The 14,378-nt window shown below is 35.0% G+C and overlaps 1 protein-coding gene across 4 annotated transcripts in view; it reads left to right on the forward strand.

The window, feature by feature from the left end:
* Positions 1-14,355, forward strand: part of PDE3A (phosphodiesterase 3A) — a 320,047-nt gene extending 305,692 nt beyond the window's left edge. For 3 of the 4 annotated variants that reach the window (NM_000921.5, NM_001378407.1, NM_001244683.2), the window contains one exon: positions 5,802-14,355. In NM_000921.5, coding sequence (NP_000912.3) covers positions 5,802-6,043 — 242 coding nt within the window. In that variant the 3' untranslated portion in view covers positions 6,044-14,355. Of the gene's footprint in view, positions 1-4,168; positions 4,245-5,801 lie in introns of all 4 variants that reach the window. The other variant, NM_001378408.1, reaches the window with a different exon arrangement.

Consider the following 14,378-nt stretch of genomic DNA (forward strand, 5'->3'; position numbering starts at 1 on the left):
TTTTTCTAGATATAGGATTATGTCATCTACAAAGAGGGACAATTTGACTTCCTCTTTTCCAGTTTGGATGCCTGATTGTTCTGAGTAGGACTTCTAGTACAATTTTGAATAGCAGCAGTGATAGTGAGCACCTTGTCCTTTTCTAGTTCTTAGAGGAAAGGCTTTCAACTTTCCACATTCAATATGATATTAGCTGTGGTTTTATTATGTGTGGTGTTTATTATGTTGAGGCATGTTCCTTCCTAGTATTTTTAGTTTTTATCATGAAGTGATGTTGAATTTTATCAAATGCTTTTTCTGCATATATTGAGAGGATAGATGCAAAAAAGCATTTTTATGCGAAGTCACCCAGTACTGAACTTTTTATTGTTGGGAGTCTTTATTGCTGATTTAATCTGATTACTTATTATTGGTCTATTTAGGTTTTCTATTTCTTCCTGATTCAATCTTGGTATATGTGTCCAGGAATTTATCCATTTCATCTAGGTTTTCTAGTTTGCTAATACATACTTGTTCAAAATAGTCTCTGATACTTTTGTATTTCTGTGCTATCAGTTATAATGTCTCCTTTTTCATTTCTGATTTTATTTTTGGAGGTCTTCTCATTTTTCTTGGTTAGTCTAGCTAGTGGCTTATTCATTTTGTTTATCTTTTCAAAAAACCAACTTTTGTTTCCTTGACACATTGTACTTTTTAAATTTTTATTTTATTTAGTTCTCTTATCTTTATTATTTCTTTTATTCTACTACTTTGTGGCCTAGTTAGTTATTGCTTCTCAAGTTCCTTGAGGTGCATTATTAGGTTGCTTATTTGAAACATTTTTAGTTTTTTGTTGTTGATATTTATTGTGTTAAACTTCCTTTTGACTACTACTTTGTGTTGTTTCCATTTTCATTTGTTTCAAGAAATTTATTGATTTATTCCTTAATTATCTCTTTGACCCAAAGGTCATTCAGAGACATTTTTTTTAATTTTCATGTATTTATACAGTTTCCAAAGTTTCTTTTGTTATTGATTTCTAGTTTTATTCATTGTGGTCTGAGAAGAAACTTGATATAATTTAGATTTTTAAAAAATGTTTTGAGACTTATTTTGTATCCTAGCATCTGGTCTATCCTGGAGAATAGTTCCATGTGCTGACAATGAGTACTCTGCAGCTGTTCAACAAAATGTTCTGTAAATATCTGTGAAGTCCATTGGCCTAAAATGCAGTTTAAATCCAACGTTTATTTATTAATTTTCTGTCTAGATGAGCTGTCTGGTTCTGAGAGTGGGATGTTGAATTCCTCAACTATTTTTGTGTTGAAGTGTCTCTCTCCCTTTAGATCTATTAATGTTTGCTTTGCATATATCTGGGTGTGATACTGCTTCTCAGCCTTTTGGCTAAGATCAGGTTTAGTATCTGGTTGCTCTGGTATTGGTGCATATATGTTTAGAACTATTCTATCCTCTTACTGAATTGATCTCGTTGTCATTATATAATGACTGTGTCTTCTTTTTACTGTTTTGACTTAATTTCTGTTTCATCTAATATAAGTATAGCTACTCTTGCTTTTTTGCTTTTGTTTGCATGAAGTATATTTTTCTGTCTTTCACTTCTAGTCTATATCTGTCTTTTCTATCTTTTACTTCTAGTCTGTATCTGTGTACAGGTGAGATGAGCTTCTTAGCACATAATTAAGTCATGTTCTTTAATCAATTCACCCATTCTATGTCTTGTGAATGGAAATCTTAGTCTGTTTACACCCAAGGTGATTATCGATATCTGAGTCTTCATTCCTGTCATTTTGTTAATTGATTTATAATTGTTATGTATATCTTTTGTTCCTTTCTCTCTCTCTCTCTCTGTCTTATTGTTTATCATTGCAGTTGGGTGGTTTTCTGTAGTGCTAACATTTGATTCCTTTCATTTCCTTATTTGTGTTTGCTCTACCAGTGGGTTTTATACTTTCAAGTGTTTTCATAATGATAGATATCATCCTTTTGCTTTCACATGTCAGCCTCCCTGAGGTATTTCTTGTAGTGCTGGTCTAGTGGTGATGAATTCTCTGAGCTTTGCTTCTGTGAGAAAAGACTTTATTTTTCCTTCATTTATAAAGGACAACTTGGCTGGGTATATGGTTTTTTCTTTCAGTGACTTGAATATATTATCCCATTATCTCCTGGACTGAATGATTTCTGCTGAGAAATCTGTTAGTCTGATTGGAGTTTCCTTATAAGTTACTAGATACTTTTCTTTTGCTGTTTTTAGAACTCTCTATGTCTTTGACTTTTTTTTTTTTTTTTTTTGAGATGGAGTCTCGCTCTGTCCCCCATGCTGGAGTGCAGTGGCGTGATCTCAGCTCACTGCAAGCTCCGCCTCCTGGGTTCACACCATTCTCCTGCCTCAGCCTCCCGAGTAGCTGGGACTACAGGCACACGCCACCATGCCTGGCTAATTTTTTGTATTTTTAGTAGAGATGGAGTTTCACCGTGTTAGGCAGGATTGTCTCGATCTCCTGACCTCGTGATCTGCCTGTCTTGGCCTCCGAAAGTGCTGGGATTACAGGCGTGAGCCACCGCACCCAGCCATCTTTGACTTTTGAAAGTTTGGCTACAATGCACCACGGGGAGGACCTTGAATTTTATTTGTGTGAGTTTCTCTGAGCTTCCTGCATCTAGATGTCTAAATCTCTTTTTGTTAGACTTGGGAAGTTTTCACCTATAATTTTGTTAAACAGGTTTTCTGTCCCTTTTATTTTCTTTTCACCTTCTGGGACACTGAAAATTCAAATATGTCATGCAAGCTTTGTTCATTATTATTATTTTTTATGTTTTTAGTGTTCATCTGACTGGGTTATGTCAAAAGACCTGTCTTCAAATTCTGATTCTTTCTTCAACTTGATATAGTCTATTGTTAAAACTTTTGAATGTATTTTGTATTTCTTTCAATGAATTCTTCATTCCAGAGTTTGTCTTTGGTTCTTTGTTTTTATACCTGTCTCTTTAGTAAATTTCTCATTCATATTATGAATTGTTTTTCTGAGTTGTAGTCTATCTCACTGAGATAGGCTTTAATATTGTTATTTTGAATTATCTGGGATTTCAAAAAATTCTTATTCATTGGAATCTGTTGCTGGAGGATTATTTTGTTCATTTGGAGGTGTCATATTTTCTTGCTTTTTCACATCTCTTGTGTCTTTGCAGTGGTATCTGTGTATCTGGTGTAGCAGTTGCTTGTTCTAATTTTTTTTTCTTTTCTTTTTATTTGAGACAGAGTCTCGCTCTGTCACCCAGGCTGGAGTGCAGTGGCACCATCTTGGCTTACTGCAACCTCCGCCTCCCGGGTTCAAGCAATTCTCCTGCCTCAGCCTTCCAAGTAGCTGGGATTACAGGTGCCCGCCACCATGCCTGGCTAATTTTTTGTATTTTTAGTAGAGACGGGGTTTTACCATGTTAGCCAGGATGGTCTCAATCTCCAGACCTCGTGATCTGCCTGTCTCAGCCTTCCAAAGTGCTGAGATTACAGCCGATTTATTAAATTATCTTTTGTCAGGGAAACTTTTTCTTGAAGGTGTATCTATGCTGCCAGTTGGGTAAAGTTCCTTGGCTTTTGATTTTGGGTGCAGGCAGTAGCATAGTCTCTATGATTTATTTGACTGTAAACAGTATCAGTAGTATCTATGATTCCTTCAGTGGCTTAGAGTGTGGTTATTAGTGGAAGCCTGTTGTAAAATTTTGCTGGGGACAGGGATGTGATGTGAATCAGTCTTTAGACCCCAGTGGTGGCAGCAGTGGGCCACATGTGCCTCTCCTAAGCTGCTCAGGACTTGGTGGATATGTGGGTCCTGGTGTGAGCTCCCTCTCTGAAGCAATGCCATCACATGATTTCCAGGCAGCTCTCTGTATCAGTTTCAGAGACCACATGGGTTGACAGACTTCCCCAAGGCTAGGACTGCAGGAGTACATGGTGGGAATGTGGATGGCTGGATTCATTCACTTAATCTTTCCTCATATTTTAGGGAGCCTCTCTAGGCTCATAGATGATGCTAGCTGAGCAGGCTGCCTTACTTCTCTCTTCTTCCTTACCTTAGGCATTTCCTGTAATTTCTCTGTTGAATTCAAAATTATATTTTAGATGATAAGTCTGATTACCTACTCACTCCATTGGTTCTTCTCTGTGGAGCAGGCAAGTACCAGATGCCTCTAGCCTACCGTCTTGAAGACACCCTCCAAGACAAGTTTCTTAAAGGAGGTATGCTAAGGTAGAACCTTTTTTTTGTTAGAAGTTATAAAATTCCAATGGAATGAGTATATACAAAAAGAGAACATTATTGGTTCATGTAAACATGATGTTGGCTATTATCAGTGCTTACTTGTTCCTGCGTTTGTCTCTGCCTCACCTGCCTAACAGCTTGTTCTTTCAGCCTTGCTTTCTTCATGAAGCTGGAACTGTAGCCAGCTCTAAGTTCACTTCATGCCAGATGCATAAGCAAAGGAGAAAGGATCTCCAATTACACCTCGCAAACCGACATTCATTCTGTGCAAATGAGAAATATCTCAGGGGAGGACTCAGGCCCGACTTGGGCCACACACACACCCATTGGCCAGTCACTGTGAAACAATTTTGTAGACTGGTTGTGAGGGCAGAAGTAGAATTTAACAACCTTTTCTGGAACCACATAATTGAAGGAAGGGGGAAAAGTTCCCCCTAAATGATTTTGGACGCACAGTTACCAGAAGAAGAGATAAAGATAAGGAGAAGAAAAAGGAAAAAATAAAAACAGAAACAGTATATACTCTAGGAGGTACATATGGAGTATCATGGGAATTTAGAAGAAAGAGATTATTTCTTAGAAGAATTCAGTGAAATCTGATGGAGTCTTTAAAAAATGAAGGAATATATACTCTCAAGTGGTTGCAAAGAACATTTCAGGATAGACAATACCAGCTTGAAAATATGAGTTCAGTGTAGATGTTTTAAAAATAAGAAAAGCAGAGTAGTTAAGTGTAGTTAACTACACTTTGAAATTAATTTTTAGTTTATTTTATTTTTTTGAGATGGAATCTCGCTCTGTTGCCCAGGCTGGAGTGCAGTGGCTCTATCTCAGCTCACTGCAAGCTCCGCCTCCTGGGTTCACACCATTCTCCTGCCTCAACCTCCTGAGTAGCTGGGACTACTGGCGCCTGCCACCACGCCTGGTTAATTTTTTGTATTTTTAGTAGAGACAGGGTTTCACCGTGTTAGCCAGGATGGTCTCAATCTCCTGAGCTCGTGATTCGCCCGCCTTGGCCTCCCAAAGTGCTGGGATTCACAGACGTGAGCCACTGCACCCAGCCTGAAATTAATTTTTTAGTCCACATGAAGCAGATGAGGAACATCAAAACCATCTTTAAATATATCAGTCTTGTAGATGTTTGTGAATTAAATTGATTGACAGAGACAGACTAACAAGAAGTTATTTCAGTGATCTATGTGGAAAGTCTTGAGAGCCTGAATGTAATGAGAATAATACCAAGATATAAGCAGAATCTTGCACTGAACATTGCCAAATATTAAATACTGTCCCTAGTTATTTGTCAGTGATATTTTAATGATTATTGCCATCTTCCTCTTTTTTCCCCATTCTCCAAAACTGCATTATTATAATATACAGTATTATAATATATATATTATATATATAATAATATATATATAATATAATATAATATAATAAGGTTATGGATTAACTCCTCTTAATTATCTGAAAAGAGATAACGTTCATGTGCTCAGCACACAACTAAGTAGTCTGATTTGGTGTTTTTTATTTTATTTATTTTAGAAAAGAAGACTTTCAAAAGGAGAAAAATCTACTGCCAAATAACTCAGCACCTCTTACAGAACCACAAGATGTGGAAGAAAGTCATTGAAGAGGAGCAACGGTTGGCAGGCATAGAAAATCAATCCCTGGACCAGACCCCTCAGTCGCACTCTTCAGAACAGATCCAGGCTATCAAGGAAGAAGAAGAAGAGAAAGGGAAACCAAGAGGCGAGGAGATACCAACCCAAAAGCCAGACCAGTGACAATGGATAGAATGGGCTGTGTTTCCAAACAGATTGACTTGTCAAAGACTCTCTTCAAGCCAGCACAACATTTAGACACAACACTGTAGAAATTTGAGATGGGCAAATGGCTATTGCATTTTGGGATTCTTCGCATTTTGTGTGTATATTTTTACAGTGAGGTACATTGTTAAAAACTTTTTGCTCAAAGAAGCTTTCACATTGCAACACCAGCTTCTAAGGATTTTTTAAGGAGGGAATATATATGTGTGTGTGTATATAAGCTCCCACATAGATACATGTAAAACATATTCACACCCATGCACGCACACACATACACACTGAAGGCCACGATTGCTGGCTCCACAATTTAGTAACATTTATATTAAGATATATATATAGTGGTCACTGTGATATAATAAATCATAAAGGAAACCAAATCACAAAGGAGATGGTGTGGCTTAGCAAGGAAACAGTGCAGGAAATGTAGGTTACCAACTAAGCAGCTTTTGCTCTTAGTACTGAGGGATGAAAGTTCCAGAGCATTATTTGAATTCTGATACATCCTGCCAACACTGTGTGTGTGTGTGTGTGTGTGTGTGTGTGTGTGTGTGTGTGTGAAAGAGAGACAGAAGGGAATGGTTTGAGAGGGTGCTTGTGTGCATGTGTGTGCATATGTAAAGAGATTTTTGTGGTTTAAGTAACTCAGAATAGCTGTAGCAAATGACTGAATACATGTGAACAAACAGAAGGAAGTTCACTCTGGAGTGTCTTTGGGAGGCAGCCATTCCAAATGCCCTCCTCCATTTAGCTTCAATAAAGGGCCTTTTGCTGATGGAGGGCACTCAAGGGCTGGGTGAGAGGGCCACGTGTTTGGTATTACATTACTGCTATGCACCACTTGAAGGAGCTCTATCACCAGCCTCAAACCCGAAAGACTGAGGCATTTTCCAGTCTACTTGCCTAATGAATGTATAGGAACTGTCTATGAGTATGGATGTCACTCAACTAAGATCAAATCACCATTTAAGGGGATGGCATTCTTTATACCTAAACACCTAAGAGCTGAAGTCAGGTCTTTTAATCAGGTTAGAATTCTAAATGATGCCAGAGAAGGCTTGGGAAATTGTACTTCAGCGTGATAGCCTGTGTCTTCTTAATTTGCTGCAAAATATGTGGTAGAGAAAGAAAAGGAAACAGAAAAATCACTCTGGGTTATATAGCAAGAGATGAAGGAGAATATTTCAACACAGGGTTTTTGTGTTGACATAGGAAAAGCCTGATTCTTGGCAACTGTTGTAGTTTGTCTTTCAGGGGTGAAGGTCCCACTGACAACCCCTGTTGTGGTGTTCCACACGCTGTTTGTTGGGGTAGCTTCCATCGGCAGTCTGGCCCATTGTCAGTCATGCTTCTTCTGGCCGGGGAGATTATAGAGAGATTGTTTGAAGATTGGGTTATTATTGAAAGTCTTTTTTTTTGTTTGTTTTGTTTTGGTTTGTTTGTTTATCTACACTTGTTTATGCTGTGAGCCAAACCTCTATTTAAAAAGTTGATACTCACTTTCAATATTTTATTTCATATTATTATATATGTCATGATAGTTATCTTGATGTAAATATGAAGATTTTTTTGTTTCTGTAGATAGTAAACTCTTTTTTTAAAAAAGGAAAAGGGAAACATTTTTATAAAGTTATATTTTAATCACCATTTTTATACATTGTAGTTCTCTCCAAGCCCAGTAAGAGAATGATGATTCATTTGCATGGAGGTCGATGGACAACCAATCATCTACCTTTTCTAATTTAAATGATAATCTGATATAGTTTTATTGCCAGTTAAATGAGGATGCTGCAAAGCATGTTTTTTCACTAGTAACTTTTGCTAACTGAATGAATTCTGGGTCCATATCTCCCAGATGAAAAACTGTTAACCAATACCATATTTTATAGTTGGTGTCCATTTCTTTCCAACACTGTTTGTTATGATTCTTCCTTGAGTACTTATATACAGACCTGCTCATTATCTAAACAATCTTACCTTCTAAGTAAACCTTGATTGTGATTTCCAGTTTTTATTTTCTCTGACGTAGTAGAAAGGAATGTTTACATTAAAAATACTTTTGTTTCTCATAAATGGATATTGTACTCCCCCCTTTCAAAGCATTATTTTACAATAATTCATGGCATTTTAAAAAATAAGGCAAAGATAATACGACAAAAAATATACATGGTTTCAAGGCAAATTCTCCAATAAGTTGGAAAATGTAAAAAGGATCAAGTGGATGCAGCCTCTACCTAAATAATTAAAATATATTTCAGTATATTTCTGAATTAACACCAGGTCTTCATTATTTAGAACTTACTAAATTGTTTTCATTTTCTTAGTTTTACCTGTGTATCTCCATGTTTGCAAAAATTACTATAAGTCAAATTTTGCCAGTGAATTTAACTATTTTTCTTTCCTTGCAATTAAGGGGAAAAAAGCATTTATCTTATCTTCTCATACCCCTTGCATCTAAGTACTTAGCAAAGTCAATATTTTCCCATTTTCCAAATGCGTCCATCTCTAACATAAATATTAATTGAACATAGAGCTATGTTTGGAGTGAGTGGACTGGCAGGACAGTTGGAAGTCCATCACAGTCTATTGACAGTTTCATCAAAGCTGTATAGTCCAACTAGTGGGGCAGCTTGGCTACTATGGTGGAAGTCTCAGCAAACTGCCTGGTTTTGTTTGTTTGTTTTGTTTTAAGGTACAGGAAATAAGAGGAATAATAGTGGCCAAAGCAATTAGAACATCTTCATTCCAGAACTGTGTTCAGCAATCCAGGCAGATTGATACATTTTTCTTTAAAAATAAATTGCTATTACAGCTAGACGTCAATTGGGATAAATAAAGGGATGAAGATCCACTAAGTTTGTGACTTTCATACACACCCAGTACATCTCAAAGGATGCTAAGGGACATTTTCTGCCAGTAGAGTTCTCCCCCTTTTTGGTGACAGCAATATTATTATGTTCACATCTAACTCCAGAGCTTACTTCCTGTGGTGCCAATGTATTTGTTGCAATTTACTACATTTTTATATGAGCCTATTTATAGGTGCCATTAAACTCAGGTCTTTCAAATGAAAGAGTTTCTAGCCCACTTAGGGAAAAAGATAATTGTTTAGAAAACCATAAAATCAATGGTAGGAAAAGTTGGAACTGGTTACCTGGATGCCATGGTTCTCTGTTAAATAAAGTAAGAGACCAGGTGTATTCTGAGTGTCATCAGTGTTATTTTCAGCATGCTAATAAATGTCTTTCCGGTTATATATCTATCTAAATTAACCTTTAAAATATTGGTTTCCTTGATAAAAGCACCACTTTTGCTTTTGTTAGCTGTAATATTTTTTGTCATTTAGATAAGACCTGGTTTGGCTCTCAATAAAAGATGAAGACAGTAGCTCTGTACAGGGATATATCTATATTAGTCTTCATCTGATGAATGAAGAAATTTTCTCATATTATGTTCAAGAAAGTATTTACTTCCTAAAAATAGAATTCCCGATTCTGTCTATTTTGGTTGAATACCAGAACAAATCTTTCCGTTGCAATCCCAGTAAAACGAAAGAAAAGGAATATCTTACAGACTGTTCATATTAGATGTATGTAGACTGTTAATTTGCAATTTCCCCATATTTCCTGCCTATCTTACCCAGATAACTTTCTTTGAAGGTAAAAGCTGTGCAAAAGGCATGAGACTCAGGCCTACTCTTTGTTTAAATGATGGAAAAATATAAATTATTTTCTAAGTAATAAAAGTATAAAAATTATCATTATAAATAAAGTCTAAAGTTTGAAATTATTAATTTATAAAAGTGAACTAATTGTGTGATTATCAAATCCTGATTAATGAGAAGTGAATAATCTAAAAATCATTTATATTCTACTGTGGGAGGTATTCTTGGTGCTTCCATGTCAGTATCGGGCTCTCCATTGTCCTCATCATTTATAGTACTTCTAAAATAATAATGGAAACCTCAATAAGGGTCTTGTCCTCTTCTGTCATCCTAACCCTGATTCTAGTTTAATGCCTTTCCTGACTTATATGCCATTTGTAAATAAACTTCCTTTCAAACTGTTAGAACGCTCCAATAAAACAAAGTTCTATGAACTTTCATAGTCTAGAAAAACCAACAAGATCCCCCTTATTTAGAGATTATTAGCTAATGTGTGAAAGAAATATCAATAGAAGTTCAAATGCTAATAGCTCAATTCCAGATAATTGAAAGCTAAAATATCTATGTACTTTGAAGCCAAACTGAGTTTATTTCATTGATCGAACAAGCAGCAACACATTTTATGACCATTGTCCTAGGTCGTTTGTGTCTTTATGAATTTGCTGATATTGTCAGTCCATTTTTTAAATCTTCAACAAAATTCAATTTTAAGATTAAGAAATCAGCAATTTTAGGTAAAGAATATTCCAAGATTAAATTGTTCTTTTTAAGAAATATATCAGTTTTAGGTCCTATGTTCACACATCAATTTGTTCATCTGGAAGATATTCAAATTCTTATTGGGAATGAATTACACTACAAACAATGAGTTGAGCTAAAAACTATACATAACTTAAATTGAGATTTGCATACGTATTTGTGTGTTTCACACCAAAGACCCATGCTCAGAGAATGGTAACATATTTTCCAGTCTATGTTATGCACCATGGATGTTAGGCAATGTGTGCTATTGCCAACACATGGTATTTGTTGAAATACATGTTGCTTTGACCTTACCTAATGGTGCTTTTACCTAACTTGAAGTGCTTTTTGTGTTCCCACCAGCAAATCATTCTAACAGCAGGCTAACAATGGTGAAGTAAAATGAACATTTTTGGGCCGGGCGCAGTGGCTCACGCCTGTAATCCCAGCACTTTGGGAGGCCAAGGCTGGTGGATCACCTGAGGTCGGGAGTTCGACACCAGCCTGACCAACACGGAGAAACCCCGTCTTTACTAAAAATACAAAATGATTCAGGTGTGGTGGCGCATGTCTGTAATCCCAGCTACCCAGGAGGCTGAGGCAGAATCGCTTGAACCTGGGAGGCAGAGGTTATGGTGAGCTGAGATTGCACCATTGCACTCCAGCCTGGGCAACAGGAGTTAAATTTTGCCTCAAAAAAAAAAAAAAAAAAAAAAAGAACATTTTTTGGCAAAATATGAAGACACGAAACTGAAGATAAAGGCTTCATTTCCATAGTGGAAATCAGTGTTTACCTGCTGATTCAAAAATACTGACCTAGTATCAGTGTAGGTAAGACCATAAAATACAGTGTATAGAATTATATATAAATGGAAAACAAAATTAGCTTTTGACATATGTTTAAGTCTCTAAAAGGAATCCACATTTTCTTTCCAGATACAGCTAGTTTTTCTCCACATGTTTTTAAGGTTGATTTCCTTGACACACATTGGTATCCTTGGGTTTCTGCTTCCTTGAAAAGTTGTGGAGCACAGAAGAAAAGCCTTCTCTTTACAGATAAAAAATGTTGAACATGTTCATGTTCTGACAATGAAGCAATGATTTCCTCATTGCTTTGCATTAAGAAGTGGTTCTTTAGTTATGCAAATAATTCAATAACCAAAAATGCTTCAAAGAGTAATAATAAATCACCATAGGTAAGTATTCTCAAGAATGTTTAAATTTGGTTTATTTTCTTGAAGCAAAGTTATTTAATTTTTTAATTTTTAACTTAAAATGAAACCCACAAAATGACATTCCGTGGTACTGAGTATTTTCACATAATCAGAACTGTAAACTACTGATTATTTTCATATACTCAGAGGCTGAATATTTTGATATAATAAGAACTAGTATCATATAACAGAAAACTAGAAAGAAGGTTTAATTCTTTTTCTAATATTCTACAAGCCTCATGGGGAAAATGTTTTATGAAGGATTCAAATACATTAGATAAAAATTAGTGTCAATAATTTAACTTTGTACAAATTATAGTCTGAGATCTTCTGAGTTTTCCTAAGACAAAGGAGTGTATTATCCAGCAATTTATTGTTTTGTGTTGTTATAAAATAAATGTTCTATTAATGTATATTTTATTTTACTAAGTTCTAACACAAAAGGCCAAATACTTATCTTTCCTACTAAGAAAAATTAAACCTTACTAATCTTGACTTTCACAGATGAAACACTGACCAGTCAATAAACAACAGCCACTGCATTAATCTGCCCAGCATGATCAGATAGTAGGTTAGAATTTGAAATTCATTAATAAAAAATTAATAACAAAACTTTGTAAGCCTTAATGGTTTAATATTTCCGTGTCATTGAAAGTTCCTATTTCAAATTAAACAAACTACAGCAGGATATTTTTCCTTTCCTGTTTCAAAACAAAAACCAGATGAAGAAAAAACAAAGACAAACTCATAGGAGGAAAGCATGGCTTCTCTTCAATTATACTTCTCTTACTCAATATTAGTAACCAAAAAATAAGCAGAAATTCTCCTCTGCCATAATTAAAAGAAAGAATGGCCTTCGACTTAAGTTCTAGTTCCTCAAGCCTGCTTTCCTTGTAAAGTCCATGGTACTAAGAAGCAAAAAATGCAGAGCTGTGGATTGGGAGTGAACACTACATAAAATTTGCAGGGTATCCCAGGACACCCCTCAGTCTTTAATACAAACCAATTTAGTTACTCTGGAGTGAAATGACTTGTGGATACACTGTTCAACCATGACTTCCTTTATGACAAGGAGCACTTATACATGTTTCCAAATGTGAATTAGCCCTTGAATTAGTTTGAAAACTGCTACTTGAATAACTTTTGAAGAGAAAGATTTTCTTTCCGGTAATTTTACTCCCTAAAAAAGGCAAAATACTCAGATGTTCAATGTGAAATTACAAATAGTTGTTTGAAGTATATATACTTCAATAAATAGTTCTTTGTGTATATAAAGTGTTGGTTCATAGCAGTTTCCTTGTCCCTTTTCTTTTTAAAATTCCCAACTGATTATGGGTCAAAAACTCCATCTTATATCAGCGATGATTTCATTTTAACTATTTATAAGGATAATTTAGTATTATAGTATTGCTAACTTTAATAATTCTACCATATCTATATATTACCTGTTAGTGAGGTTTTAATGGCTTTACTTAATACATATTTGTTCATCAGCTTAAAAAATCACTAAATTTTTTATACTCTGTAAAATATTTGCATGGGAATTTTAGCTTATTATGTTTGCTTAACTGGTGTTTTTTTCACTTATGACTGTCAGTTTATGTCTTAATGTATTCTCACAGAAGAATGCATACCATTTTTGTTCCAACAAGAACAATCTGTTAGTTGATAAGCACTGGTAATAAATATCACTGAACCCACCCACCCCCTGATATTTCTTCCTCAAGTTTTCTATCATGCAAATCACAAAATGAAAATTGGTGCTTTTACAAATATTTGAAAGCTCTCAATGCAAAATAATAAAAATGAGATTCTCCCTGGCTTTCTATAATATATTAGGATATGTGACTGAAGGAAATTTAATCTGAATTTAGAGTGTTTTAGGTTTTGGTTGGTTTGAATAATTTGATTTGCATTTTGGTATTAAAATGTGCTCTGATTTCTGCGGGCATTTGTTCTGACCAGTCATTACCTCTTCCCAACAGAAAAAAAAAAAAAAAAAAAAAAACTGGCATTGGCAAGTTTTAATTAATATGGCCCAAAAATTTGACCTTGAAGGATATTTGTAAACCAGAGAGTATTTAATTAACTAAATTTACTGTTTCTGAAAAGCAATATTTTCAAATAACTGCCAACCAAAGTGACACTATAGGGATGTCATTTGTACATGACAATTTTTAACAATGTAATTCTTACCACTCTCGACAGACCTGAATATGTTTACTAATAACTTTGCCAAATTTTTCAACTTCTAGAAAAACAAGAGTGAGTCTTTTGAACTTCATCATTTTGCAATTGAAATAAATCTTGTCCTTTCACCTATATCTTCCATTTAATATATGTAGCAATACTTAGTATCATCCCATCACAAGTATTGTTAGGCGACTTAGTGGCGGAGAAATGTTTGTAAAAAGTAGAATCTGTACAGAAAAAAAACTAGATCAATTGTATTTATTTTTATTATTTTTTAGCTTAGATACTATGTTGATGCTCCCTTTTTGCCAGAATTACTGGAAGTGCCTCTTGGTTTTATATATATAATATATAAATATTACAGTAAATATATACTCAAAATTATTAAAATTATGTCCTAGATTATCTATGTCGATGTTATGAGTGAAGATAATGTATAATATAAAAATAATTCTGCAGTATTATGATTTGTGTAGTATTTGTA

The sequence above is a fragment of the Homo sapiens genome, chromosome 12 (genome assembly GCF_000001405.40).
Source record: "Homo sapiens chromosome 12, GRCh38.p14 Primary Assembly".
Classification (NCBI taxonomy): domain Eukaryota; kingdom Metazoa; phylum Chordata; class Mammalia; order Primates; family Hominidae; genus Homo; species Homo sapiens.